Genomic DNA, 26982 nt, shown 5'->3' on the forward strand with positions numbered 1-26982 from the left:
TCCCAGCTACTTGGGAGGCTGAGGCAGGAGAACTGCTTGAACCTGGGAGGTGGAGGTTGCAGTGAGCCGAGATCATGCCATTGCACTCCAGCCTAGGCAACAAGAGTGAAACTCTGTCTCAAACAAACAAAAAAAAAAAGTAGAGTAAAATTCAGTATCATAAATTCTAATTATTTTGTGTTAAGCTGGAAAAGTCTCCTAAACCCGTAAAACTTAGGTTTATGGGGTCAGGCACCGTGGCTCACCTCTATAATCCCAGTACTTTGGGAGGCTGAGGCAGGCAGATCACCTGAGGTCAGAAGTTAAAGACCAACCTGGCCAACATGGCAAAACCCCATCTCTACTAAAAATACAAAAATTAGCCAGGCATGGTGGTGCACACCTGTAGTCCCAGCTACTCAGGAGGCTGAGGCACAAGAATCACTTGAACCCAGGAGGCAGAGGTTGCAGTGAGCTGAGATCCCTCCAGCCTGGGCAACAGAATAAAACTCCATCTCAAAGCAAACAAACAAAAAGAACTTAAGTTTACATAAGAGTTGTGACAAAAGCTATTATTTTAAGGCTGGGTGCAGTGGCTCACACCTGTAATCCCAGCACTTTGGGAGGCTGAGGCAGGCGGATCACGAGGTCAGGAATTCGAGACCAGCCAGTTCAAGACCAGCCTGGCCAACATGGTGAAACTCCATCTCTACTAAAAATACAAAATTAGCCAGGTGTGGTGGCGCGTGCCTGTAATCCCAGTTACTCAGGAGGCTGAGGCAGGAGAATCAGTTGAACCTGGGAGGCGAAGGTCGCAGTGAGCCAAGATCACGCCATTGCACTCCAGCCTGGGAAACAAGAATGAAACTCCATCTCAACAACAACAAAAAAAGCTATTATTTTAATCCTCATGAAAAACTTGCAGCTCAATTAAAAAGAAATTAAGCCCAAGCAAAAATAGTATGTATTGTTTTACTAAATTCACCCCAAGCACTTGGACTGAAAGACTCTCCCAAGTTTAAAAAAAAAAAAAAATGTATTGGGAGGCCGAGGCAGGCAGATCATGAGGTCAGGAGATAGAGACCATCCTAGCTAACACAGTGAAACCCTCTCTCTACTAAAAAGACAAATAATTAGCCAGGCGTGGTGGCACGTGCCTGTAGTCCCAGCTACTCGGGAGGCTGAGGCAGCAGAATCACTTGAATCCGGGAGGCAGGTTGCAGTGAGCCGAGATCACGCCACTGCACTCCAGCCTGGGTGACAGAGCAAGACTCCGTCTCAACAAAAAAAAAAAAAATCAAGTTTTGAAACAAAAATCTGCCTTTTTAAGAAGATGGCACCAAAAACAAAGGAGGAAGCCCTTGCCCACCCCAAAGCCAAAGTCAAAGCAAAGGCTTTGAAAGAACAAGAAGGCAGTGCTGAAAGGCATCCACAACCACACAAAATAAGACTTGCCACCCACCTTCCAGTGGCCTAAGACAACGCAGCTCCAAAGGCAGTTCAAATGTCCTAGGAAGAACACCCCCACAAAAAACAAGCTTTATCATTATGCCATTATCAAGTTCCCCTTGACCACTAAGTCAGCCATGAAGAAGACACAACCACATTTGTGTTTACTATGGATGTCAAGGCCAACCAGATCAAACAGGCTGTGAAGAAGCTCTATGACACTGGCATGGCCAAGGTAAACATACTCATCAGGTCTGATGGAGAGAAGAAGGTGTATGTTCAACTGGCTCGTAACTTAACGATGTTTTGAATGCTGCCAACACAATTGAGATGATCTAAAATGAGTCCAGCTGGCTAATTATAATTTTTTTTTACCATATTAAAAAAAAATCTACAAAACTGCAGTTCTTAAATGAGGTAACAGGTAAGTAAAAGGACTTGGCATATAGAAGGTTCCAAAACCACCAGGTAAGAAGTCCAACTACCTTGTTACCACCATGCTTAGATGAAGTCATCCACATGGGAGGACTACCCAGCAAGAAGTACCGAAACCAAGTATCAGGAAGAGGGAGAGATCCATGTAGGGGAGAGTATGGTAGCAGAAAAGGAGACTGATAATATGCAGAGGAACTGACTGAATAAGTTAATATATTAAAGATACCTGGAGTCAGTTTTCCACTGTCAAGAAAAAGGAGTGAAAAAATAGAAAACAAGAATGAACCCTGTACTGTTGGACTGGAATTAAAAATATCACTACGAATGAATGTCTTTTAATAAAGAAATACAAATGCAGTTCTAAATACATATATACATACTCCCTAGCTCTATCTACTAAGTGGGCCTAGGAGCAGAAAAATCCTAGTAGCAATGAGCACATCTAGCATGCAGATCTTGGCTTCTAAATACCATTCTCCACTAACAGGAACCAGGAATCCAAGTATCCTCCCACAAAATACTAATTACAAAGGGGAAACGAATGACTTTGCAGTGGGGTAGGCTGAATAACTGTCCCCCAAGATGTCCACATCTTAATACCTGGAACCAGTAAATATACTATCTCGAATGACAAAAGGGACTTTACAGATATGACTAAGTTAAGGATCTTGAAATAGGAAGATTATCATAGAAGGACCATAATCACAGGGGTACTTTTAACAGGGAGGCAGAAGGGTCAAAGACAGATGGTAATGTGACAACGGAAGCAGATGCTGGACTAATGCCCTTTTTAAAGATGAAGGAAGGGCCACAAGCTAAAAAAATACAGGCTATCTACAGAAGCTGGAAAAGGCAAGAAAACAGATTCTACCCTAGAGCCTCCAGAAGGAAGTAGCCCTGCCAACATCATGACTTTGGCCCAAAGAAACTGATTTTGGACTTCTGGCCTCCAGAATTATTAAGAGAACAAATTTGTGCTGTTTTAAACCAATGAGTTTGTAGTAATTTGTTACAGCAGCAACAGGAAACAAATATAAAACACCTAAACAGACACCACCTCAATCAAGTGATCGGTGAGCATCGCCAGAAAAAAAGACAACCTAAAATCATATGCCACCTGACAGCATACAAGAACACAGAATCAGTTTTGTGAAATTCCTGCCCAAGATACACAACCTGACTCTAATAATGAGAAAACACTGTACAACCCAAATTCAAATCCATTTTACTAAATAACTGGTCTCTAATCTTTAAAGCAGAGGGAAAAGTGAATAACTACTTCAGACTAAAGGAGACTAAAGAAACACCTGCCTCTGCCTCTGCCCCTGCCCCTGCCCCTGCCCCTGCCCCTGCCTCTCCCTCTCCCCACGGCCCACGGTCTCCCTCTCCCTCTCTTTCCACGGTCTCCCTCTGATGTCTAGCCGAAGCTGGACTGTACTGCTGCCATCTTGGCTCACTGCAACCTCCCTGCCTGATTCTCCTGCCTCAGCCTGCCGAGTGCCTGCGATTGCAGGCGCGCGCCGCCACGCCTGACTGGTTTTCGTACTTTTTTGGTGGAGACGGGGTTTCGCTGTGTTGGCCGGGCTGGTCTCCAGCTCCTAACCGCGAGTGATCCGCCAGCCTCGGCCTCCCGAGGTGCCGGGTTTGCAGACGGAGTCTGGTTCACTCAGTGCTCAATGGTGCCCAGGCTGGAGTGCAGTGGCGTGATCTTGGCTCGCTACAACCTCCACCTCCCAGCCGCCTGCCTTGGCCTCCCAAAGTGCCGAGATTGCAGCCTCTGCCCCGCCGCCACCCCGTCTGGGAAGTGAGGAGCGTCTCTGCCTGGCCACCCATCGTCTGGGACGTGAGGAGCCCCTCTGCCTGGCTGCCCAGTCTGGAAAGTGAGGAGCGCCTCTTCCCAGCCGCCATCCCGTCTAGGAAGTGAGGAGCGTCTCTGCCCGGCCGCCATCCCATCTAGGAAGTGAGGAGCGCCTCTTCCCGGCCGTCATCCCATCTAGGAAGTGAGGAGCGTCTCTGCCCGGCCGCCCATCGCCTGAGATGTGGGAAGCGTCTGTGCCCCGCGGCCCCGTCTGGGATGTGAGAGTGCCCGGCCGCGACCCCGTCTGGGAGGTGAGGAGCGTCTCTGCCCGGCCGCTCCATCTGAGAAGTGAGGAGCCCCTCCGCCCGGCAGCCGCCCCGTCTGAGAAGTGAGGAGCCCCTACGCCTGGCAGCCACCCCGTCTGGGAAGTGAGGAGCGTCTCCGCCCGGCAGCCACCCCGTCCGGGAGGGAGGTGGGGGTCAGCCCCCCGCCAGGCCAGCCACCCCGTCCAGGAGGGAGGTGGGGGGGTCAGCCCCCTGCCCGGCCAGCCGCCCCGTCCGGCAGGGAGGTGGGGGGGGTCAGCCCCCCGCCCGGCCAGCCACCCCGTCCGGGAGGTGAGGGGCGCCTCTGCCCAGCCGCCCCTACTGGGAAGTGAGGAGCCCCTCTGCCTGGCCAGCTGCCCCGTCTGGGAGGGAGGTGGGGGGGTCAGCCCCCCGCCCAGCCAGCTGCCCCGTCCGGGAGGGAGGTGGGGGTCAGCCCCCCGCCAGGCCAGCCACCCCGTCCAGGAGGGAGGTGGGGGGGTCAGCCCCCTGCCCGGCCAGCCGCCCCGTCCGGCAGGGAGGTGGGGGGGTCAGCCCCCCGCCCGGCCAGCCACCCCGTCCGGGAGGTGAGGGGCGCCTCTGCCCAGCCGCCCCTACTGGGAAGTGAGGAGCCCCTCTGCCTGGCCAGCTGCCCCGTCCGGGAGGGAGGTGGGGGGGTCAGCCCCCCGCCCAGCCAGCTGCCCCGTCCGGGAGGGAGGTGGGGGGGTCAGCCCCCCGCCCGGCCAGCCGCCCGTCTGGGAGATGAGGGGCGCCTCTGCCCGGCCGCCCCTACTGGGAAGTGAGGAGCCCCTCTGCCCGGCCACCACCCCGTCTGGGAGGTGTGCCCAACAGCTCACTGAGAACGGGCCGGGATGACAATGGCGGTTTTGTGGAATAGAAAGGGGGGAAAGGTGGGGAAAAGATTGGGAAATCGGATGGTTGCCGTGTCTGTGTAGAAAGAAGTAGACATGGGAGACTTTTCATTTTGTTCTGTACTAAGAAAAATTCTTCTGCCTTGGGATCCTGTTGATCGGTGACCTTACCCCCAACCCTGTGCTCTCTGAAACATGTGCTGTGTCCACTCAGGGTTAAATGGATTAAGGGTGGTGCAAGATGTGCTTTGTTAAACAGATGCTTGAAGGCAGCATGCTCGTTAAGAGTCATCACACTCCCTAATCTCAAGTACCCAGGGACACAAACACTGCGGAAGGCCGCAGGGTCCTCTGCCTAGGAAAACCAGAGACCTTTGTTCACTTGTTTATCTGCTGACCTTCCCTCCACTATTGTCCTATGACCCTGCCAACTCCCCCTCTGCGAGAAACACCCAAGAATGATCAATTAAAAAAAATAAAATAAAATAAAATAAAATAAAGAAACACATCAATTAAATGTTATGTGATTCTAAATTGGATATTTTGCTATAAAGAACATCACTGAGAAAGTGACAAAACCCAAATGGAGTCAGACGATGAGATGGCGGTAATGTTAATTTTCTGATTTTCATGGTTTAGAGAACACTTTTGAAAATACCACTAGTGATTTTTAAATATGTATTTTATTAAATTAAGCCTCTACAGTATCCCACTTTCAAGTATAAAATCAAGGAAACATTTGATGAGGTTTTATAAGAACAATGCTGAAGTCTCTTTATGAAGCAGGCAGTTTGATCTATTCAAAGGTATGATGTTCTACTGTTCCTGGCCAAGAGAAAGTACATATGGTTTTCAGCCCCTTATTCTTGGGGGCCACACAATGTGTGCATGGACCTTGTATGCCCCACTCTTCCAACCTAAAAATTAAATCTTAACCTTTTAGGAGACTATTTCAATCAATCAGTAAGTACCACAGGCCACAGTTTACACATTAACATAGTAGCAGTTAGATTTCCAGCAAAACTAAATATTCGTGGTACACATTCAAAATCTCTGTATGAATGACCTCAAGTCAAAGTAACTATTATGAGTCAAGTTCTTCCAGACAGTTTTTTAATAAGACACTTAACAGAATAAAATGAAGTTCACTTATAAACTTCTTGCTTATTGAATTACTATTTTCATGGGCACTAAAAATTATGTTAGGAGTATCCTTAACTTGTATTTTTTTAAAGAAATTATCCACATTTATAGAAACAGGAAATCCTAAGATCATAAAACAATATAAATAATGTGTCATAATTGCTGTCAGCAGCCGAACTTTATATAGTAAAGCTGCAGGGATAATCTAGATTTGGGTTATGGCTGTGCTTCATAAACCACATAGTGCCTTTGCTAAAACAGTCACTCTGTCCATGCTGCATGATCTGCCAGTCAGTAGTATTACTGAGTGAACTCTTAGCACCATAATCATAGAACCCAAAGAGGTGAAGGAACGTTAGCCAGATCTAAAGTCTTCAAACCTGTTTGCCTGCTTACCACATAGTATCCAACAGTTTTTCAACCCTTGTCTCCTTCCCTCCTTCCTCCCTCTACTAGACCTCAGTGTCAATTGTTGCCATCACTATGTCCATGTGTGCCCAATGTTTAGCTCCCACTTATAAGTCAGAACATGCAGTATTTGGTTTTCTGTTTCTGCATTAATTCACTTAGAATAATACCCTCCAGCTGCATTTATGTGCTATAAAGGACATTTCATTCTTTTTAATGGCTGTGTAGTATTCTACAGTGTATATGTACCACATTTTTTTTTTTTTTTTGAGACAGAGTTTTGCTCTTGTTGCCCAGGCTGGAGTGCAATGGCGCAATCTCAGCTCATTGCAACCTCCACCTCCCGGGTTCAAGTGATTCTCCTGCCTCAGCCTCTCAAGTAGCTGGGATTACGGGCATGCGCCACCACACCCGGCTAGCTAATTTTGAATTTTTAGTAGAGATAGGGTTTCTCCATGTTGGTCAGGCTGGTCTCGAACTCCTGACCTCAGGTGATCCACCTGCCTCGGCCTCCCAAAGTGCTGGGATTACAGGCATGAGCCACCACGCCCGGCCACTACATTTTCTTTATCCAGTCCGCTATTGATAGACACCTGGGTTGGTACCATGTCTTTGCTATTGTGAGCAGTGCTGCAATGAACATGGGTGCACGTCTTTTTGGCAGAACAATTTATTTTCTTTTAGATATATACTCAGTAATGGGATTGTTGGGTCAAATCACAATTCTCAGTTCTTTGAGAAATCTGCAAACTGCTTTCCACAGTGGCTGAACTAGTTTACATTCCCACCAGCAGCGTATAAGTGTTTCCTTTTCCCTGTAACCTCCCTAGCATCTGTTTTTTGACTTTTTTATAATAGCCATTCTGACTGGTATGAGATGATCTCTCACTGTGGTTTTGATTTGCATTTATCTGATTAGTGATGTTGAGCATTTTTCATGTTTCTTGGCCACTTAAAAAAAAAATTTCTTCTTTTAAGAAATGTTCATGACTTTTGCCCACTTAATGGGGATATTTTTTGCTTGTTGAGTTGTTTAAGTTCCCTATACATTCTGGATTAGACCTTTGTTGGATGCATAATTTGTAAATATTTTCTCTTATTCTGTAGGTTGTCTGTTTACTCTGTTGATAGTTTCTTTTGCTGTGCAGAATCTTTTAGTTTAATTAGATCCATTTGTCAATTCTTGCTTTTGCTGCAACTGTAAAGCTGATATTTTAAAATAATTCCATCTCTTTTAAATGCATCCAAAGAAAGCTAAAAACCACAGCAATTTCATACCCATCATCATCCATTTACAAAAATTTATGAAAAGTCCTTCATTCTACTTCTCCCACATAATATTATCCTAATTTAATATATTTCATCCTGGTGAGTTAATTTTTTTTTTTTTTTTTTGAGACAGGGTCTTGCTCTGTCACCAGGCTAGATAGACTACAGTGGTGCCATCACGGTTCACTGCATCCTCAACCTTCCAGGCTCAAGGGATCCTCTCACCTCAGCCTCTGGAGTAGCTGGGACTACAGGAAGATGCCACTATGCCTGACTAATTTTTTTTCATAGAGACAAGGAGGTCTATGTTGCCCAGGCTGGTTTCAAACTCCTGGGCTCAAGCAATCCTCCCTCCGCAGCCTCCCAAAGTGCTAGGATTACAGTTGTGAGACACCACATCTGGCCCCAGTAAGTCACTTCTTTTTTCTTTTTTTTTTTTTTTAGACGGAGTCTCACTCTGTCACCCAGGCTGGAGTGCAATGGCGTGATCTCAGCTCACTGCAACCTCCAACTCCCAGGTTCAAGCAATGCCTCAGCCTCCCGAGTAGCTGGGATTACAGGCATGCACCACCACACCCAGCTAATTTTGTATTTTTAGTAGAGATGGGGTTTCCGCCATGTTGGCCAGACTGGTCTCAAACTCCTGACCTCAAGTTCCACCCACCTTGGCCTCCCAAAGTGCTGGGATTACAGGCATGAGCCACCGCCCACGCCCAGCTAGTCCTAGTAAATCCTTTCTTATAATACCGAAATATGCTTCTTAAAATTATTTTTTTAATTCCCTGTGACTATAAAGTTTTTCCCAATTTTTTTGTTTTGAAAATATTCAAGTCATCATAAAAGTTGAAAGAATATTACAATGGCCGGGCACAGTAGCTCATGCCTTTAATCTCAGCACTTTAGGAGGCTGAGGCAGGAGGATCACTTGAGCTCAGGGGTGCAAGTCTAGCCTGGGCAACACAGGGAGACCTTGTCCCTACAGAAACTTTAAAAATTACCTGGGAGTGGTGGTACACACCTACAGTCCCAGGTATTCAGGAGGCTGAGGCAGGAGGATCACCGGAGCCCAGCAGTTCGAGGCTGTAGTGAGCCATGATCACATCACTGCAGTTCAGCCTGGCAATGGCATGAGACGGTGTCTCAAAGAAAAAAAAACAACTAAAACTTATTTTTGAAAACAAAAAGTACACTTCTGCCAGTATGGCTCAATCTTTTCCAAAACAGCTTTACCTAAAGCTGCAGATTAGCTTATTCGATGTATAGAAAACATATACCATGTAACCTAATTGGCAAAGGCAGTTTTCATTATTAAACTAACCAACCAAATTGAACTATCAAAAAAAGGCTCATGCCTGTAATCCCAGCACTTTGGGAGGCCGAGGCAGACGGATCGCGTGAGGTCAGGAGTTCAAGACCAGCCTGGCCAACATGGCAAAACCCCATCTCTACTAAAAATACAAAAATTAGACAGGTGTGGGTGGTGAGCACCTGTTACTGGGGATGCTGAAGCAGGAGAACCCTAGGAGGCAGAGGCTGCAGTGAGCCAAGATCACGCCACTGCACTCCAGCCCGGGTGAAAGTACGAGATTGTCTCAAAAACTAAAAAATAGTTAAAAATAAAAATAATTTAAAAAAAAAAATTTTTAAAAACAATCTTTCCTTTAACCGTGGTTTGTTTGCCAGAATGTTTCAGAATATAAAAGGCATGAAAATAACTTGGAAGTGAAAAATTGGGAAATACTGCTCTAGACGACCAAAAATAAAAGTCATCCAGTAATCTTAATCATTATGCTCTTAACTTGAATCTGAATAGTTAGCCATATGTCTCATTCCCAAGGCCAGTTCAGAACTATTTGGATTTGGAATATAGGCTTCATAAGATTACATATTGTTCACCATCACCACCACCCAGGATACACAATCACAGATTACCTAAATCAGAAGGGTTACAGAAACGTGGGTCCTACTTACACCTATCCACTACACATACTCTGGCAATGGAGGAGGGAACCTAGAAGGCAACTGAAAATGTTCTTGAACTAAAAAAAAAAACAAACACTGGATCACAGCAGAACCACCCCTCTACCACCAAAGTTCACAATTCTCAGGAATGCCTGAACAATCTAAGTGCAAACCAATACAAACCAAGTAGTTCAAATAAATCAAGAGCTTTGTCTTCCTTAAGCAGGTACTTGACAGCAGCATACAATTATATCATATATTATCTCTTTTTCTTTTCCTTTTATGGTACTGAAATAAGTACTACAGAGCAGGGCTTTTCAACATCAGCACTACTGACATTTTGGACTATACAATTCTTATAATTCAATGTTTCTGTGCATTTTAGGATGTTTAGCAGCATCGTGATCTCTACCCACTAGATGCCAGGAACAGCTCCCCAGTGGAGACCAAAAAAAATCTTCAGAAATTCACAAATGTCCTCTGGGACACAAAATTGCCCCTGATTTAAAGTGCGCGCACACATACACATACACAGGCACACACACACAGCTACAGACGGTACATGAAAAGCAAGTTAAACGATATGACCTACATATCAGGAACACAGGGAAAAGAAAGATAGGAAAAGTTGGCAGAATAAATGGATGAAAACGCAACAATTGTCTTTTCCCATTCCCTTAAAAGTATTCTTAAAAAAAAAAAAAAAGACTCGCTGCAGTATCTTTGAGTACTTACCTGGGACGCGGGGAGGGAAGAAGGGAGAGGAGGACCTGGGAAGCTTCATTATTAATTTACTAACCACCCTGTTAGCTCTGTCCTCCTATTTTTCTTTTAGTCTTAATCTTATAGTGATAATCCATAGCCTAAGTAAAAGGTTAACCAAAAACAGGTAAAACAAAGAGAAAGTGGAAGAGAAACTCAAGTACTAGGAAAGTAAATAAATGCTAGCTAAGAAGGAAAGGCAACTTAACATACAAGGATGTATGTCCCACCAGAACTTTAAACACCACATACCCCAAAGTAGTAACAATTCATTGAGCTGAAAGGGCCTCTGGAGATAAGTGCAGAGTGTGTCTTGCTCAAGATCGCAATGCTAGCCAGAGATTGTTTTAATAAGATTTTGGGTGTTAATACAAATTCATAAAGAAAATTTGAGCCTGGGCAACATAGCAAGACCTCATCACTACAAAAAAAATTAAAAATTAGCCGGGTGTGGTGGCACACACACCCATAGTCCAGCTACCCACACACACCCATAGTCCAGCTACATAGTCCTACTACTTAGAAGCTTCCTCAAGAAGGCAGAGGAATCAGCTCCTTGAGCCCAGGAGATCCAGGCTGCAATGAGCCATGACTGTGCCACTATCCACAGCCTTGGGAAACAGAGTGAGACCGTGTCTCAAAAAAAAAAAAGGAAGAAGGAAAAAGAAAGAAAATTTGGCATACAGTGGAAGAAAAAAATCCACCAATCCAACACCCAGATAGTAATCATTAATACCATTGTAGTATCCTTTTTAGTTCTATTTAGGAAAATATCTGGAAAAGCAAAGGAGACAGGAGAGTTGGCGAGGTTGAACGTACACCCTCAGAAGAGAAACAGCTCTGTGAAGAAGGAAGCTCCAGCAACTGACTTCCCAAGGAATGAGCTTCACTCAATTAGAGGGCTGCCCTGCTGCTTCAATCAGGGCCTGTAAGGGCCCTTTTGCAGTGTTGACGATACCTGGTGCTTATCTCCACTGCAGCAGCTGCCCAAGTGAGCTTCTCAAAGAGAAAAACGGGACACATAAAAGCCCACTTAAGGATAGCATTTCTATGATGTATCAGTGTACAAATTGAAAGAGACAAAAATAAAAAGCTGAAGTTTGTGTTAAGGTCGCATTAGCAGTAATTTTTAATTTTTAAAATTTCTAAACATTTCCCCGTGTTTAGATCATTATAAACATCACTTAATGACTACTAATAACCAAATGAATAAAGGTACCACAATATACCTACCATTCTATAATTAGATATATAAAATGTTTCTAATTTCTTGGTATTGTGGATCTCTTTGGTCCTGTAAGTATTCAGAACACTCTATCCTTAGAACACAGCCCCAGAAGTATAATTACTAGGTTTAAGAGCTTTAACACTTTTACAACTCCTTTCTAAAAAAGCCAGGACTATACATCCTTTTCAGCAGTTTCCCCGTTGGCACCACCATTCTTCAGCAGCCAGTATTAAAGCCGATTTGATTCCTCTGTACTGAAGTTCAAGGGCAGAGACTGTATCTTACCCACAGTGTTCACCCCTCCTCTTTCCAGTTCCCTGGAATAGAGGAGGCACTATATAAATATTTCTTGAGAATGATGAACTCCTTTATTTAACAAATATTTGGTGAATATCCACTACGTACCCGGACTTTTCTGGACACTGAGGATATAGAAAAAAAACAAAACAAAAAACCCTGCTCTCAAAGACCATAGCAATAAACAAAGTAAATTATATAGTACAGTTAACCCTTGAACAACGTTGGGGTTAGGGGCCCTGTCCCCACCCCCTGTGCAGTCACAAATCTGCATATAACTTTTGGCTCCCCCAAAACTTAACTACTAATAGCCTACCGTTGACTGGAAGCCTTATGGATAACATACACAGTTGATTAACACATATTTTGTGTATGTATTATATACTGCATGCTTACAATAAAGCTAGAAAAAAGACAATGTTAAGAAAATCATAAGGAAGAGAAAATATATTTACAGTACTGTTATTAATACCTTAAGTTTATGTCACCTGTTTACAAGTTGCAGACCTCAATCTACAGTATATATCAAGCAATTCAACTTTTTCTGGTATTATCATGACTTTTTTCTTCTTCGGAGCACTTAGAGCATCACTAGTGGCACTCTGTATGAGTCCCATGGTGTTGCAAGGTTTATGGTATCACACTGAATACAAAGAAAAATACAAGAGAACCTCAAGAGATCACTTTCTATGGTGATATGGAATTTACTGAAGAGACAAACTGCTCACGCAGAGATGATTAGCGTCACACGATGTTTTAAGCAGACACTTGCAACACCTGAGCTCACTGCAATAGCAAAGAAGATGGCTATAAAATTATTACAGTAGTATACACTAGTTAACTTTACACAGTTATGATTTAATACTACATTTCTCTCAACTGCAAATGGCTCCATGTCCTGTCTATAGTGTTTGTGTGAATAAGTTTTGATAAATTTTACCTTTTACAATAGATATGTGTTTCTTTTATGGTAGCAAATGATAAAGCTGACTAGTATCTACATACATTTTATGCATTTATAACATACCTTTTTCTTAATTTCTTTTTGATATTTCTAGGCTACAGTTCTTCTGCAAAACATTTTCAAACTGTTACAAGTCTCCAAAAAGTTTTCCAATATATTTACTGAAAAAAATCCACGTATAAGTGGACCTACATAGTTCAAACCCATGTTGTTGAAGGGTTCTTTTGAGAGAAAATTAGTAAGGTAGGGGTAAGAAACACTACAATTTAAAATAGGAAGCTCAGGGAAGATGGCATCTGAGCAAAGACAACAGAGATGAGGGAAGAGGTAATGTGACTATCTAGAGGAAAAGTATTCCAGGCAAAGGGAGCAGCAACCAGTAAAAGACTGAAAGAGTGTGTTTCACTGTGTTCAAAAGTGCAGTGAAGCACGTATGGCTGGAATGGAAACAGCAAAGTGATCAAAGAGACCACGAAGGACTTTACAGGATACTCGCTAAGACTTGAGCTTCTAGTCAGATTGAGACAGATCCCTGAAGAGTTCTGAGCAGAACTGTATGAGCTGACTTCTGTTATAAAGGATCCTTGCTAATATTCTGAGAAAAGACTACACTCAGCCAGGGTAGAAACAGACTAGTTAGGAAGCTAATGATAATCTAGGCAATAAACCAGGACAGTGGTGTTGGTGGAGTGATGAGAAATGGTCGGACACGATGTATTTCAAAGGTAGAGCCAAAAGAACATACTAGTAGTCTGAAAGTGGAGTATGAGAAAGAGATGAATCAAGAGTAACTTCTAATCCAGTCCACCAGAGCTTAAAGGTAAAAATGTAAATAAAAAATAAAGAATGACTCCCAAGACTTCTTTCCTGAACAGCTGAAAAGACAGTTGTGATTAATTGAGATAAAGGTTATGGGTCAAGAAGGTTGGAGGGGAGGGGAAGAAAGTAATCCTGTCAATTTTGTGCATATTCATAGAAAGATCTCTATTAGATATCCAAGTGGAAATGTGGGTTAAGCACTTATACACACAAGTCTGGAGTCTGAGGAAAGAAGTTCAGACTGGGCTAGGTGCAGCGGCTCATGCCTGTAATCCCAGCACTTTGGGAGGCCGAGGTGGGCACATCACTTGAGGTCAGGAGTTCAAGACTAGCCTGGCCAACATGGTGAAACCCGTCTGTACTAAAAATACAAAAATTAGCTGCAGGTGGTGGTGTATGCCTGTAATCCCAAGTACTCAGGAGGCTGAGGCAGGAGAATCACTTAAACCCGGGAAGTGGCGGTTGCAGTGAGCCGCGATCACACCACTGCATTCCAACCTAGATCAGAGTAAAACTCTTGTCTCCAAAATAAAAATAAAAATAAAAATAAAGAAGTCTAGCCTGGAAATAGAAATTTTGGAGTCTGTGCATTAGTCTAATCCTAAGCCTGTCACCCCACCTGGGTTACAAATTCTACCAAAATAAGACTATGTTTATACTGCATTCATCATTGTATCATCTGCTGTACCTGTACGGTCAAACAGTGAACGCTTAATCAGTAACTACTAAAACTAAACAAAAATCTAGGCCGGGCGCGGTGGCTCACGCCTGTAATCCCAGCACTTTGGGAGGCCGAGGCGGGCGGATCACGAGGTCAGGAGATCGAGACCATCCCGGCTAAAACGGTGAAACCCCGTCTCTACTAAAAATACAAAAAATTAGCCGGGCGTAGTGGCGGGCGCCTGTAGTCCCAGCTACTTGGGAGGCTGAGGCAGGAGAATGGCGTGAACCCGGGAGGCGGAGCTTGCAGTGAGCCTAGAACCCGCCACTGCACTCCAGCCTGGGCAACAGAGCGAGACTCCGTCTCAAAAAAAAAAAAAAAAAATCTAAAGCAAAAAAAGAGTTGGAATCTACACGAGAAAACTCCTACTGACATAAACAGAATTCCAAAATGTAAAGAATATCTTTCTTTTCTTTTTTTTTTTTTTGTTTTGAGACAGAGTCTCACTCTGTCGCCCAGGCTGGAGTGCAATGGTGCGATCTTGGCTCACTGCAACCTCCACCTCCCGGGTTCAATCAATTCTCCTGCCTCAGCCTCCCGAGCAGCTGGGACTAAAGGTGCACACCACTACGCCCAGCTAATTTTTGTATTTTTAGTAGAGAGGGGGCTCACTATGTTGGCCAGGATGGTCTCGATCTCTTGACCTCGTGATCCACCCCCCTCGGCCTCCCAAAGTGCTGGGATTACAGGCGTGAGCCACCGAGCCCAGCCGAGAACATCTTTTTAAAAGAATGAACAGCATCGCCTTTCAAAGAAACAATGTGATGGTGAAATAGTGTAACAACATTTGTCATCAATAAAGTCTGGTAATAATAGGAAAACATTTTTAAAAGGAAGTCTAAGCAATTTATGAATACATTTGTAATCACCTTCTTTATGTCTGAATAAAAAGTATGATTAAGGGAACAGGCATCTAAGAAAAGAAAATAAGCCTATCTTTATCAGGTCCTCCCAAGATCAAGCAGATATGCAACAAGATGTTTAAATAAAAGCAATTTTACATAATGCAGGCGGTTTTTTTCCTGTATTTTGTTTGTTTGTTTATTTATTTATTTATTTTTTGAGACGGAGTCTTACTCTGTCGCCCAGGCTGGAGTGCAGTGGTGCGATCTCAGCTCACTGTAACCTCTGCCTCCCAGGTTCAAGCCATTCTCCTGCCTCAGCCTCCCGAGTAGCTGGGACTACAAGCGTGTACCACCATGCCCAGCTAATTTTTGTATTTTTAGTAAAGACGGGGTTTCACCATATTGGCCAGGCTGGTCTCGAACTCCCGACCTCATGATCCGCCTACCGTGGCCTCCCAAAGTGCTGGGATTACAGGCATAAGCCACCGCACCTGACCTATTTTTTATTTTTTTAGACAAGAGTCTCACTCTGTCGCCCGGGCCAGAGTGCAGTGGCACAATCTCTGCTCACTGCATCCTCCACCTCCCGGGTCCAAGCAATTCTCCTGCCTCAGCCTCTCGAGTAGCTGGGATTACAGGTATTTTTAGTAGAGACGGAGTTTCACCATGTTGGCCAGGCTGGTCTCAAACTCTTTACCTCAAACAATCTGCCCGCCTTCAGCCTCCCAAAGTGCTGGGATTACAGGTGTGAGCCACCACACCCGGCCAACATAATGCAGTTATTAATCTAATGTTTGTCACCACATTTATAAAACCTTCATGTTGTCCTGTAATTCCTACTGCCAAGTTCCCAACTGCTTTCCTCTGTATAGGACTTAAGTGTGTATATGCTGCATGTCTGATACACCCCTCTGTCAGGATAGAACAAAGAAGGAATAACTTTTTAAAACAATTTAAAGTTTTATCAGATCGCTAATATTCCTTCAAGAGCTAAAGCCTGAGAAAACTGTAAGCTCTACACATTGGGAGGCTGAGGCGGGCGGATCATCTGAGGTCAGGAGTTCAAGACCAGCCTGGCCAACATGGAAAAACCCCGTCTCTACTAAAAATACAAAAATTAGCCAGGCGTGGTGGTGGGCTCCTGTAATCTCAGCTACTCAGGAGGCTGAGGCAGGAGAATCACTTGAACCCAGGAGGCAGAGGTTGCAGTGAGTTGAGATCATGCCACTGCACTCCAGCCTGGGCAACAGGGCAAGACTCTGTCTCAAACCAAACATCAACCATAAGCTCTAAATATGAACATTAAGACATATCCCTTTGAATACAAAGCTGATACAAGCTAGTTTTTTCTAATGTTAAAAAACACAGCCTTGGTGACCTGGTGAAACCCTATCTCTACAAAAATTATAAAAACTAGCTGGGTATGATGGCGCACCTGTAGTCCCAGCTACTTGGAGGCTGTGGTGGGAGGATCACTTGAGCCTGGGAGGCAGAGGTTGCAGTGAGCCAAGATTGTGCTACTGCACTCCAGCCTGGGTGACAGAGTGAGACCCTGTCTCAAAAACAAAACAAAACAAAAAACAAAAACACTCACTATCGGACAAGAAGTTATTGTCAAAAAAAAGAACAAAAAAACCAAACCACTCAACAGGAGACTGAGATAACCCATCCTACTGTAATTACAACTCTATAGGGAGTGACGGTGTGCACGTGCAGTTCTAGCTACTCGGGAGGCTGAGGCAGAAGGATGGCTCAGCCCAGGAGATTGAGGTTGCAGTGGAGCAGTGATGGTGCCACTGCACTCCAACCTGGGTAACAACATGAGATCCAGTCTCAAAAAAAAATTCATCCCCATTCTTTTCCCTGCACTTAAATCCCCAAACTGATCATTGGGCCAATCACCAAAAGCTTTCAAGAGGACAAGAAATAAGTAATCCTAGAAATGAGTGAAAATTCAAAATCTGCACTCCACTCTCATTCTCTCCTCAGTACTTATATTCAATAAACAGTCCAAGCTTTCTTAGAATTCTCTTTCTAATCTGACCACCTGTCACTGGAAAGAGCCTCTGAAATGGACACCCCCTCCATCTAGTTTCCCACCCAGCCATCACCAACCTCCCCCTCCACCCACCAAACCATTCTCCACACAATATTCCACAAAAGCCAAACTGACCATGTTTTATTACCATACTTTAAAACCTCCATTGTTTACCAAATAACTTACAGGATAAAGTATAACCCTCTTAAAATACCTGAGTTGGTCGTAAGTGCCAATCACATTCAAATCTTTACCATTTACTAAACACCTCCATGCTTTTGCATATACTTTCCCCTATATATGGAATGCCCTTCTCCCACTTACCTTTTAAGACCTATCTCGTGTCACCTCCTCTGCATGAAACACTTCCCCAAATCCCAAAATATAATTATTTACTCCTTCCTATGTGCTCCCAAAGCACCTTCCACTAGCCATTTTAACACATATCGTAATGTGTTATATTTACTTAATTACAGGAGGCAGCAGAGAGTAGTGGCTAACAAGAGATGCTCTGGCATAAGACAGAGTTGAGTCCAACAAACAGTCTTCCACCTGGTAGCTGTATGACTTTAGGAAAGTTGGTAACCTCCTCTAGGACGCAGTTTTCTCATGAATAAAATGAGATAATACATGAATCTAGCTCAAAGTGCTACCGTGAGTGCATTCCGCACTACCCACCTTCAGGCTAGCTAGCACTCACTCACTGAACAGCAACAGAGCTGAGTCTAGATGTAACTCTGGAGTCTACTGAAGGCTTGCAACTTTCCGGGAAAGGCTTGGAGGGTAAATTACGAAGGCTGTTGGTCAATTTTAGTTCCTTGGTTTGTACCTCCATGTTGGGGCTCAGTGATACCCAAAATATGGCATTTTGACATGCTGAATGAAGAAGCCTCAAGGTCTCTCTGACTTTCCTCCCTGCCCTCCTGATGCCCCCCACCATATCCCAAAGCCTTCATCTGCCTAAGATCCAGACCCACCAAAACGAACAACTGCTTTTCTTCTCCTCCTGTAGGACCAAGAAGGTAACCACACCTAAACAGACCCTTCACAAGATAATGTACAAGTTAATCTCTGTTCTCTGATCCATTGTCCCTAGCAATCCTATCAACAGAATTCCTCTTCTCCCCCTTCCCATAACCTGTTTCACCAGGATGGTATATAAGCTTCTGAACTACATTGGGATGTGGGGAATCACTCTGTGGTTCGCCCCATGTTCACATTAAATACATGTGTATGTCTTTCCTCCAATTAATCCACCTTGTCTGAGTTGATTTTTCAGCCAATCTTCAGAGGGCAAAAGGGAAGTTTCCCTTGGCCCCTACATCCACACTTTGTTTTCTAAACAATAAACTAATGCATTTAAAAGAATTATTAGTTTATGCTTTGGGGCACACAATGTATAAAGATGTAATTAGGGGAAATCAAATACTGAAAGAGGTGGGAAAGGAGCTATAAAGGAGCAGAGTTTTTATATGTCAAAGTTAAACTGGTATAAATTGAAATTACAATATTTAGGATGTTTAATGTAATCCCCATGGTAACCACACAAAAAGTAACTACAGAATATACTCAAAAGAAAATGAGATGTGAGCAGTGGCTCACACATGTAATCCCAGCACTTTGAGAGTCCGAGACATAGATCACTTGGGCCCAGGAGTTTGAGACAAGCTTGAGCAACATGGCAAAACCCAGTCTCTATTTAAAAATAAAATAAAATAAAAATTAGAAAATGCAAAGAAATGTAAACATTTCACTACAAAAAAAATCAGCTAAACAAAAAAATAGTAATGCAGGAAATAAGGAACAAAAGGATATATGCCTATAGAAAACAAATAGCAAAATGACAGAGGTCCTTCTTTTTACTTTTTGTGTGTGACAGGGTCTCCTTCTGTCATCCAGGTTGGAGTGCAGTGACATGATCATAGCTCACTGCAGCCTCGATCTCCTGGGCTCAAGTGATCCTCCTGCTTCAGCCTCCTGAGTAGCTAGGACTAAAGGTGCGTGCCACCATGCCTGGCTAATATTTTTTTGTTTGTTTGTTTGTAGGAACACGGTCTCATTATGTTGCCCAGGCTGGTTCAAACTCCTGGACTCAAGTGTTCCTCCCACCTCAGCTTCCCAAAGTGCTGGGATTACAGGAATGAAACACTGCACCTGGCCCTCCTTCCTTAACAGTAATTACTTTAAATGTAAATGGTTAAATGTTCCAATCAAAAGACTGGCAGAATGGATTAAAAGCACCTGATCCAACTACGTCCATCTACAAGAGACTCACTTTATATCCAAAGACACAAACAGATTGAAGGTGAAAGGATGGAAAAAATATTCCATGGAAACAGTAACCAAAAGATAGCAGGGTGGTGACTATAAGACAAAATAGACTTTAAAACAAAAAAGATTACAAGAGATAAAAGACATTACATATTAGTAAGAGGTTCAATACAGCAAGAAGATATAACATTTATAAACATTTACGTATCTAATGATCATCAAAATGTACAATGCAAAAACCAACAGAACTGAAGAGAGAAACAGACAGTGCTACAATAATAGTTTCAGACTTCAATACACCCTCCATCCCCAAAAATGGATAGAACAACCAAAAAGAAGATAAGGAAATAGAGGACTTAACACAAACCAACTAGATCTAACAGACATATACAACGCTCACTACCCTACAGCAGCAGCACATACATTGTTCAGAAGTGCCATGGGACGTTTTGCAGGATAGACTATATGTTAAGCCACAAGATATTTTATTTTGAAAGACAGATATCATACAAAGTATCTTCTCTGACCGTAACAGATGAGTATGACCAATAAAGATGAGTATACTGAGATACACAGAAGTTAAATCAGTAACCAATACAGATGAGTATACTGAAACACACGGAAGTTAAATAACTTGCCTAAAATTACAGTAGGCTGCAGAGCCACATTTCAAAACCAGGCATTTTGAAAAAGTAAGGTTAAGTAAGTTTTGAAAAGGGAAGATCAAGCCCCAAAAGTAAGATCAAGGAGTCAACAAAAACTTTTTTTAAATGATACATTTTATCTCAATTCAAAAGGAATTCTTTCCATAACCTACGGAAAGAATAAAAGCATGCTTTTGATTATTCGAAATTCTAATAATTACAAGCAATCAGTTATTTTCTCTTGTCAGATAATACTCTTGTCAAATATATCAATGAAAGCCTAATGATATAAAATGTTTAAAGTGATAACTCTTCTATTGTAAATCAAAAAAGCAGTAAACAAAATTATGCACTTACAAATAATGGTTGGATTGAAATTCCACATAAACATTAAGAACACTTCTCATTTTAAAAGCACTAGGAAAGACAAACATTAACAATTACAAGAAAGCACAAAGTGGGCAGTACACACAAAAGGTCACAGCACAGTATTGTTGGCAATACCAAAGATGGGTAGTGTTAAGGTAATTATGTGCAATTATTTCAAAATGTTAAGGATATCCAAATTACATAAGGCTCCAATCATAGCACAATGGTAAATACTCTGGAAGCCATTAATAGACAACTATGATAAACTGATTGTAAACTTGTATCATTAAAGTTGTTTGACAAAAATATCTGGCTTTTAACTCCCAGAACTTTACGTTACTGTTCTGTAAGTGCTTCTTAGCTATGTAAAACAAAAAGGCTAACACATTAGTTTTTTGGATTTTGTTGTTGTTGTTAGCAAAGAGCACATAGCAAAACAAATATACTACCTCCCAAAATGGCAACTACAGCAAAAGACCATTACTAAGGAAGCTCTCCTCCAAGCAGCACTTCTCAAACATAGCTACAATTTAGAATCATATAGGGATATTTAAAAAATACCAGTACATAACACCCACTCCAGACCAAATAAATCAGAGTATCTGGGGATGGGTACAAGTGTTTTAAAAAGTTCCCGAAGTGGGCCGGGCGCGGTGGCTCAAGCCTGTAATCCCAGCACTTTGGGAGGCTGAGGCAGGCGGATCATGAGGTCAGGAGATCAAGACCATCCTGGCTAACCCCGTCTCTACTAAAAATACAAAAAATTAGCCAGGCGTGGTGGTGGGCGCCTGTGGTCCCAGATACTCGGGAGGCTGAGGCAGGAGAATGGGGTGAACCCAGGAGGCAGACCTTGCAGTGAGCTGAGACCGCGCCACTCCACTCCAGCTTGGGTGACAGAGCGAGACTCCATCTCAAAAAAAAAAAAAAAAAGTTCCCGAAGTGATTCTAATGTGTAGCCAGGGTTAAGAATCACTATGCCAAGGAAATCTAAGCCCTCCGTGTTATCATTGCATACAGAGCTTTTGTCCTTAATTGTCTGAAGAAATATTCATTTTATTCAGCCAATTTGCAAACCAAGAGAGTAAAACAAATAACTACTAAAAGGGGTATTAATTATAAGTACGCTTAGCTAAACATGTTAAGCAGAAATCAAGGCAAAAGTATTCCATTAATAATGTTTTAGATAACAGGTACGTTCAATTAACATGTCAAATATGCCAATAAACGAACTATTTCCATTTTTCAAACCGCAGACTTTACAAGCTGTGAAATGGTGCTATGCTTTCTGGTGTATTCAAGAGCCCACTAATTCCAAAACAGCCATGCTGAAACGACTGTCAACCTTAAAAATTGAAAGTCCCAAATGTGTTGCAGAAAACACACAAAAAAAAACCTCAATAAAGATTAGTTAAACTGGGCCGGGCACAGTGGCTCACAGCTGTAATCCCAGCACTTTGGGAGGCCGAGGTGGGCAGATCCCTTGAGGTCAGGAGTTGGAAACCAGCCTGGCCAACATGGTGAAACTCTGTCTCTACTAAAAATACAAAAATTAGCCGGGCGTAGTGGCAGGCACCTGTAATACCAGCTACTTGGGAGGCCGAGGTGGGAGAACTGCTTGAATCTGGGAGGTGGAGGTTGCAGTGAGCCAAGATCTTGCTATTGCACTGGAGCCTGGGCAACAGAGCGAGACTTCATGCCAAAACAAACAAAAAAAAAATTACTTAAACTGAACTTTAAGGTTGTGTAACTGCCAGAGCAAACCTTTTCATGCTTTCATGCACATGCTATCTCTGAAAATACTGTCAGAAGTCTGAAATTCAAACGCATGCCTACATTTTTGTATTTGGCTACTTAACTGTTTCACAGGAAAACTAAATAAACTAAGCCTCAAAAACAAGTATTAAAATATGCTGCTGTGGCCAGGGAACAGTGGCTCACGCCTGTAATCCCAGGACTTTGGGACGCCGAGGCAGGTGGATCAATTGAGGTCAGAAGTTCGAGACCAGCCTGGCCAACATGGTGAAACCCCATCTCTACTAAAAATACAAAAATAAGCCAGGCATGGTGGCTCGCGCCAGTTTTCCTAGCTACTCAGGAGGCTGAGGCACGAGAATCGTTTGAACACGGGAAGCAGAGGTTGCAGTGAGCCGAGATCACGCCACTGCACTTCAGCCTGGGTGACAGAGCAAGGCTCCATCTCAAAAAATAAAAATACTTATATATGCTGTTGTGTTTCCCCAAAACTGTACTACGGGGGTCCTCATCTTTTACTTAAAATCCTTAAGAACAAATGTGCTTCAGAATTTTTCAGATTTGCCCCGTCCGGGAAGGAGGTGGGGGGGTCAGCCCCCCGCCCGGCCAGCCGCCCCGTCCGGGAGGTGAGGGGCACCTCTGCCCGGCCGCCCCTACTGGGAAGTGAGGAGCCCCTCTGCCCGGCCAGCCGCCCCGTCCGGGAGGGAGGTGGGGGGTCAGCCCCCCGCCCGGCCAGCCGCCCCGTCCGGGAGGGAGGTGGGGGGGTCAGCCCCCCGCCCGGCCAGCCGCCCCGTCCGGGAGGTGAGGGGCGCCTCTGCCCGGCCGCCCCTACTGGCAAGTGAGGAGCCCCTCTGCCCGGCCAGCCGCCCCGTCCGGGAGGGAGGTGGGGGGTCAGCCCCCTGCCCGGCCAGCCGCCCTGTCCGGGAGGGAGGTGGGGGGTTCAGCCCCCCGCCCGGCCAGCCGCCCCGTCCGGGAGGGAGGTGGGGGTGTGAGCCCCCCGCCCGGCCAGCCGCCCCGTCCGGGAGGGAGGTGGGGGGGTCAGCCCCCCGCCCGGCCAGCCGCCCGGTCCGGGAGGTGAGGGGCGCCTCTCCTCAGCCGCCCCTACTGGGACGTGAGGAGCCCCTCTGCCCGGCCACCACCCCGTCTGGGAGGTGTACCCAACAGCTCATTGAGAACGGGCCATGATGACAATGGCGGTTTTGTGGAATAGAAAGAGGGGAAAGGCAGGGAAAGGATTGGGAAATCGGATGGTTGCCATGTCTGTGTAGAAAGAGGTAGACACGGGAGACTTTTCATTTTGTTCTGTACTAGGAAAAATTCTTCTGCCTTGGGATCCTGTTGATCGGTGACCCTACCCCCAACCCTGTGCTCTCTGAAACATGTGCTGTGTCCACTCAGGGTTAAATGGATTAAGGGCGGTGCAAGATGTGCTTTGTTAAACAGATGCTTGAAGGCAGCATGCTCGTTAAGAGTCATCACCACTCCCTAATCTCAAGTACCCAGGGACACAAACACTGCGGAAGGCCGCAGGGTCCTCTGCCTAGGAAAACCAGAGACCTCTGTTCACTTGTTTATCTGCTGACCCTCCCTCCACTATTGTCCTATGACCCTGCCAAATCCCCCTCTGTGAGAAACACCCAAGAATGATCAATTAAAAAAAAAAAAAAAATCAAAAAAAAAAAAAAAGAATTTTTCAGATTTTAGAAAAGTAACACAGCGTTTACACTCAAACAGACCCTATGGGGTCTAAAGTGCACCAATAACCAAACAAATTAATATTCCAAGACAGAACATAACTATTTATTAAGTGAGATAAAGATTATTCAGTAGCCTCCTGTCAGTACAAGTCGGCAAATTATTTTGCAGCAAACTTCTGAAAAAAGTTCCTTATTCAGAGCTTTGAATGAGGCAGTAATTCAAGATTTCTCTTTCATATTCAAGATACTGCAACTGGGCTGCAGAAAAAAAGTCACTATGATGAAAACATCCTTTTACTACAACTGTAATTCCACAGAAACAACTCAAGTTATTAGGGTAAATCCAAGAAAAAAGTCCAAGTGGTGCCCAACAATTTTCATAATGATTAGAATAGCATTTAAGTATTCACCTTAATTTTCATAACACAATTTTGAGCAAGAGCAAACAAATACATCAAAATATGCATATGGACTAAGGCAAGCCTGAAGCAGAGAGCCGGATGTAAAACGGGCAAACTGACACCCATAATAGTTCACCTAACTTTCTATCTAGCAGTATGGAAACCACACAGGGCTCTGAAGCTAAGCGACCAATGTTCTAATCCCAGTTCAACCATACAGGAAAATTACTTACATGCTCTACCCTCAGTTTCTTTACCTGTAAATGGAGATAATAATAGAACCTACCTCACTGCATTGCTGGAGTGTGGTGGCACGATCTCGGCTCATTGCAACCTCCAGCTCCCGGGTTCAAGCAATTCTCCCTGCCTCAGCCTCCCGGGTAGCTGGAATTACAGGCGTCCGCCACCACTCCCAGCTAACTTTTTGTATTTTTGTAGAGACGGGGTTTCACCATGTTGGCCAGGCTGGTCTTGAACTCCTGACTTTAGGTGATCCGCCCGCCTGGGCCTCCCAAAGTGAGCCACGGCAGGCGTGAGCCACCATGCCCGGCCAACCTCACTGCATTTTTAAGAAGATTAAATAAAGTAAAAGTTGAAGTCCATGATTTACAAATAGTATTAATTCCCTCCACCTAAACTACCACCACTTTTTCAAAGACACTTACATGCTGAAGGGGGTCAAGTATGACTTGTTGGCAGGGCGTGGTGGCTCATGCCTGTAGTCCCAGCACTTTGGGAGCCCGAGGAGGGCAGATCACTTGGTGTCAGGAGTTGGAGACCAGCCTGGTCAACATGGTGAAACCCCATCTTTACTAAAAACACGAAAATAAGCCAAGCCTGGTGGTGCACGCCTGTAATCCCAGCTACTGGGGAAGCTGTGGCAGAACTGCTTGAACCCAGCAGGTGGAGGCTGCAATGAGTCAAGATCAAGCCACTGCACTCCATCCTGGGCAACAGAGTGAGACTCTGTCTCTAAATAAATAAATAAATAAATAAATAAATAAATAGTATGATTCTTCTATGAAATCAGGTGAATTTTATAATACGAAACTCACCATGAAAATATGACTTTCAAATTTCAAAAATCCATCCTGACACAGTGGCTCAAGTCTGTAAGGCCAGCTACTCGGGGGGCTGAAGCGGGAGGATGACTTGAAGCAAGTTCAAGACCAGCCTGGGTAAATGAGACTCTCCCCGCTTTAAAAAGAAAAAAAGAACAACTTTAAAAATCCAATGTAGATTAAAAAATGATGGCTAATTTCTGAAATCAGGGCAGTTTCTCAAAACACTTTTTTTTATACCTTTGTTCTGCCTGATCAAAACACATTCTGGCCAAACCCACCGACTACTCTCCCAATACCTTTTTGTTTTCTACACTACCAATTGCACACATAATGGCTGTTAGGTGAAAATAAACTACTGAAAAGTGTACCCTTTTAACTTGAAATACAACAACCACAAGAATGGCCTAGGTTTGCAGATAAGAAAAGCCATTACAGCATTAAGACTTCACTTATACACAATCACTGCCCAAAGAACCTACCCAATTTTTTTTCCTTTTTCAACATCGAGGAAGAACCTACACAATTTAAATGCACTTAGGAAATAAGGCACAACAGTCCAAGATCCAAATTTCATAAACTACCCATTGAGTAAAAAAAGTATTAAGACTAGTAACTTTGGACAGATTTTTGCATCTAATGGATTTTTAAACTTATTGTCAAACGTACAAAATGATGCAATCCTTTGTTACTATTTATCCTAAATTTATTTTAGTTCTATTCCAAGTCAAGAATGTTAGTTTCCTGCAGATCACATGGGGCGGGGGGGAAAAAGAATGTTACAGGACACTGAATCCATCTGAAAGTATAACAAGTTCTGAGCTGATTCAAGGCTTCACTGTTAACAACTTCTCCAAGTAGAGTATATAACCTGGACAACCTAGACCTCCAGCACACCCAATTGAAGAGAAGATATTTAAGCAAGTTAGCACAGCTCTTGTGCAATAGAAAGCTTTCCCTAAGTTGTTAATACTCAAAACCCACTCCTTACTGTTAACACTACCATAAATAACCCATTAGGCCCTCGCAGTTACATCAGCTTTAAGAATACCATCTGCCATATGTCCTAGTAGAGTGCAACAAATGGATGCAAACATTACCCAAACATCAAGTGAAATATGAAAAGAATCTGTTATTCTGTGCTTTAATTCGATGTTGTTTAATGTGAAAAGACTTAGAACCAAAAGTAAATCGACCCACTACCTCAAAATTCCCTACAAGATTAATTAAACGAGACTTAATCCTTCATACTTGCACTTTTTCCGTCACAAACAGGAAACTCCGAAGAAAAGGAAATAGAAAAAAGCCTATTTTTGCTAAGAGGAATAACGGCATTGCTTCCAACCCCCACAGTGAGTGAACAAATGAAAAAGCAACGGGAGGAAGTGACGGGGGTAGGCGGTGGAAAGCTCAATTGGAGTCCTAAGCATGCCACCCGGCTCAGAGATGCCCTAAAACATCTGTTAAGAGCAGCTGCAACAGGGAAACCGGAGTCGGGG

At 43.8% G+C, this 26982-nt stretch overlaps 1 protein-coding gene and 1 pseudogene across 3 annotated transcripts in view, besides 1 other annotated feature; one reads left to right on the forward strand and one right to left on the reverse strand.

The window, feature by feature from the left end:
• Positions 1-26982, reverse strand: part of SEC63 (SEC63 protein translocation regulator) — a 90453-nt gene that overhangs the window by 62732 nt on the left and 739 nt on the right. Inside the window, exon 1 of one of the 3 annotated variants that reach the window (XM_047418130.1) lies at positions 25478-26776. The exons of the other annotated variants lie outside the window; for them this stretch is intronic. The gene's annotated coding sequence lies outside the window, so the exon portion shown is untranslated. Of the gene's footprint in view, positions 1-25477; positions 26777-26982 lie in introns of those variants that run through there. 3 annotated transcript variants of the gene reach the window in all.
• On the forward strand, positions 1313-1767 carry RPL23AP50 (ribosomal protein L23a pseudogene 50; annotated as a pseudogene).
• Positions 22558-22852: a silencer, noted in NCBI's record as "tiled region #2315; K562 Repressive non-DNase unmatched - State 7:EnhWF". NCBI's record gives its function as "represses a minimal TATA promoter and a strong SV40 promoter by Sharpr-MPRA in K562 cells {active_cell/tissue: K562}" and the evidence as "EXISTENCE:reporter gene assay evidence [ECO:0000049][PMID:27701403]".

Source organism: Homo sapiens, chromosome 6 (assembly GCF_000001405.40).
Source record: "Homo sapiens chromosome 6, GRCh38.p14 Primary Assembly".
NCBI lineage: Eukaryota > Metazoa > Chordata > Mammalia > Primates > Hominidae > Homo > Homo sapiens.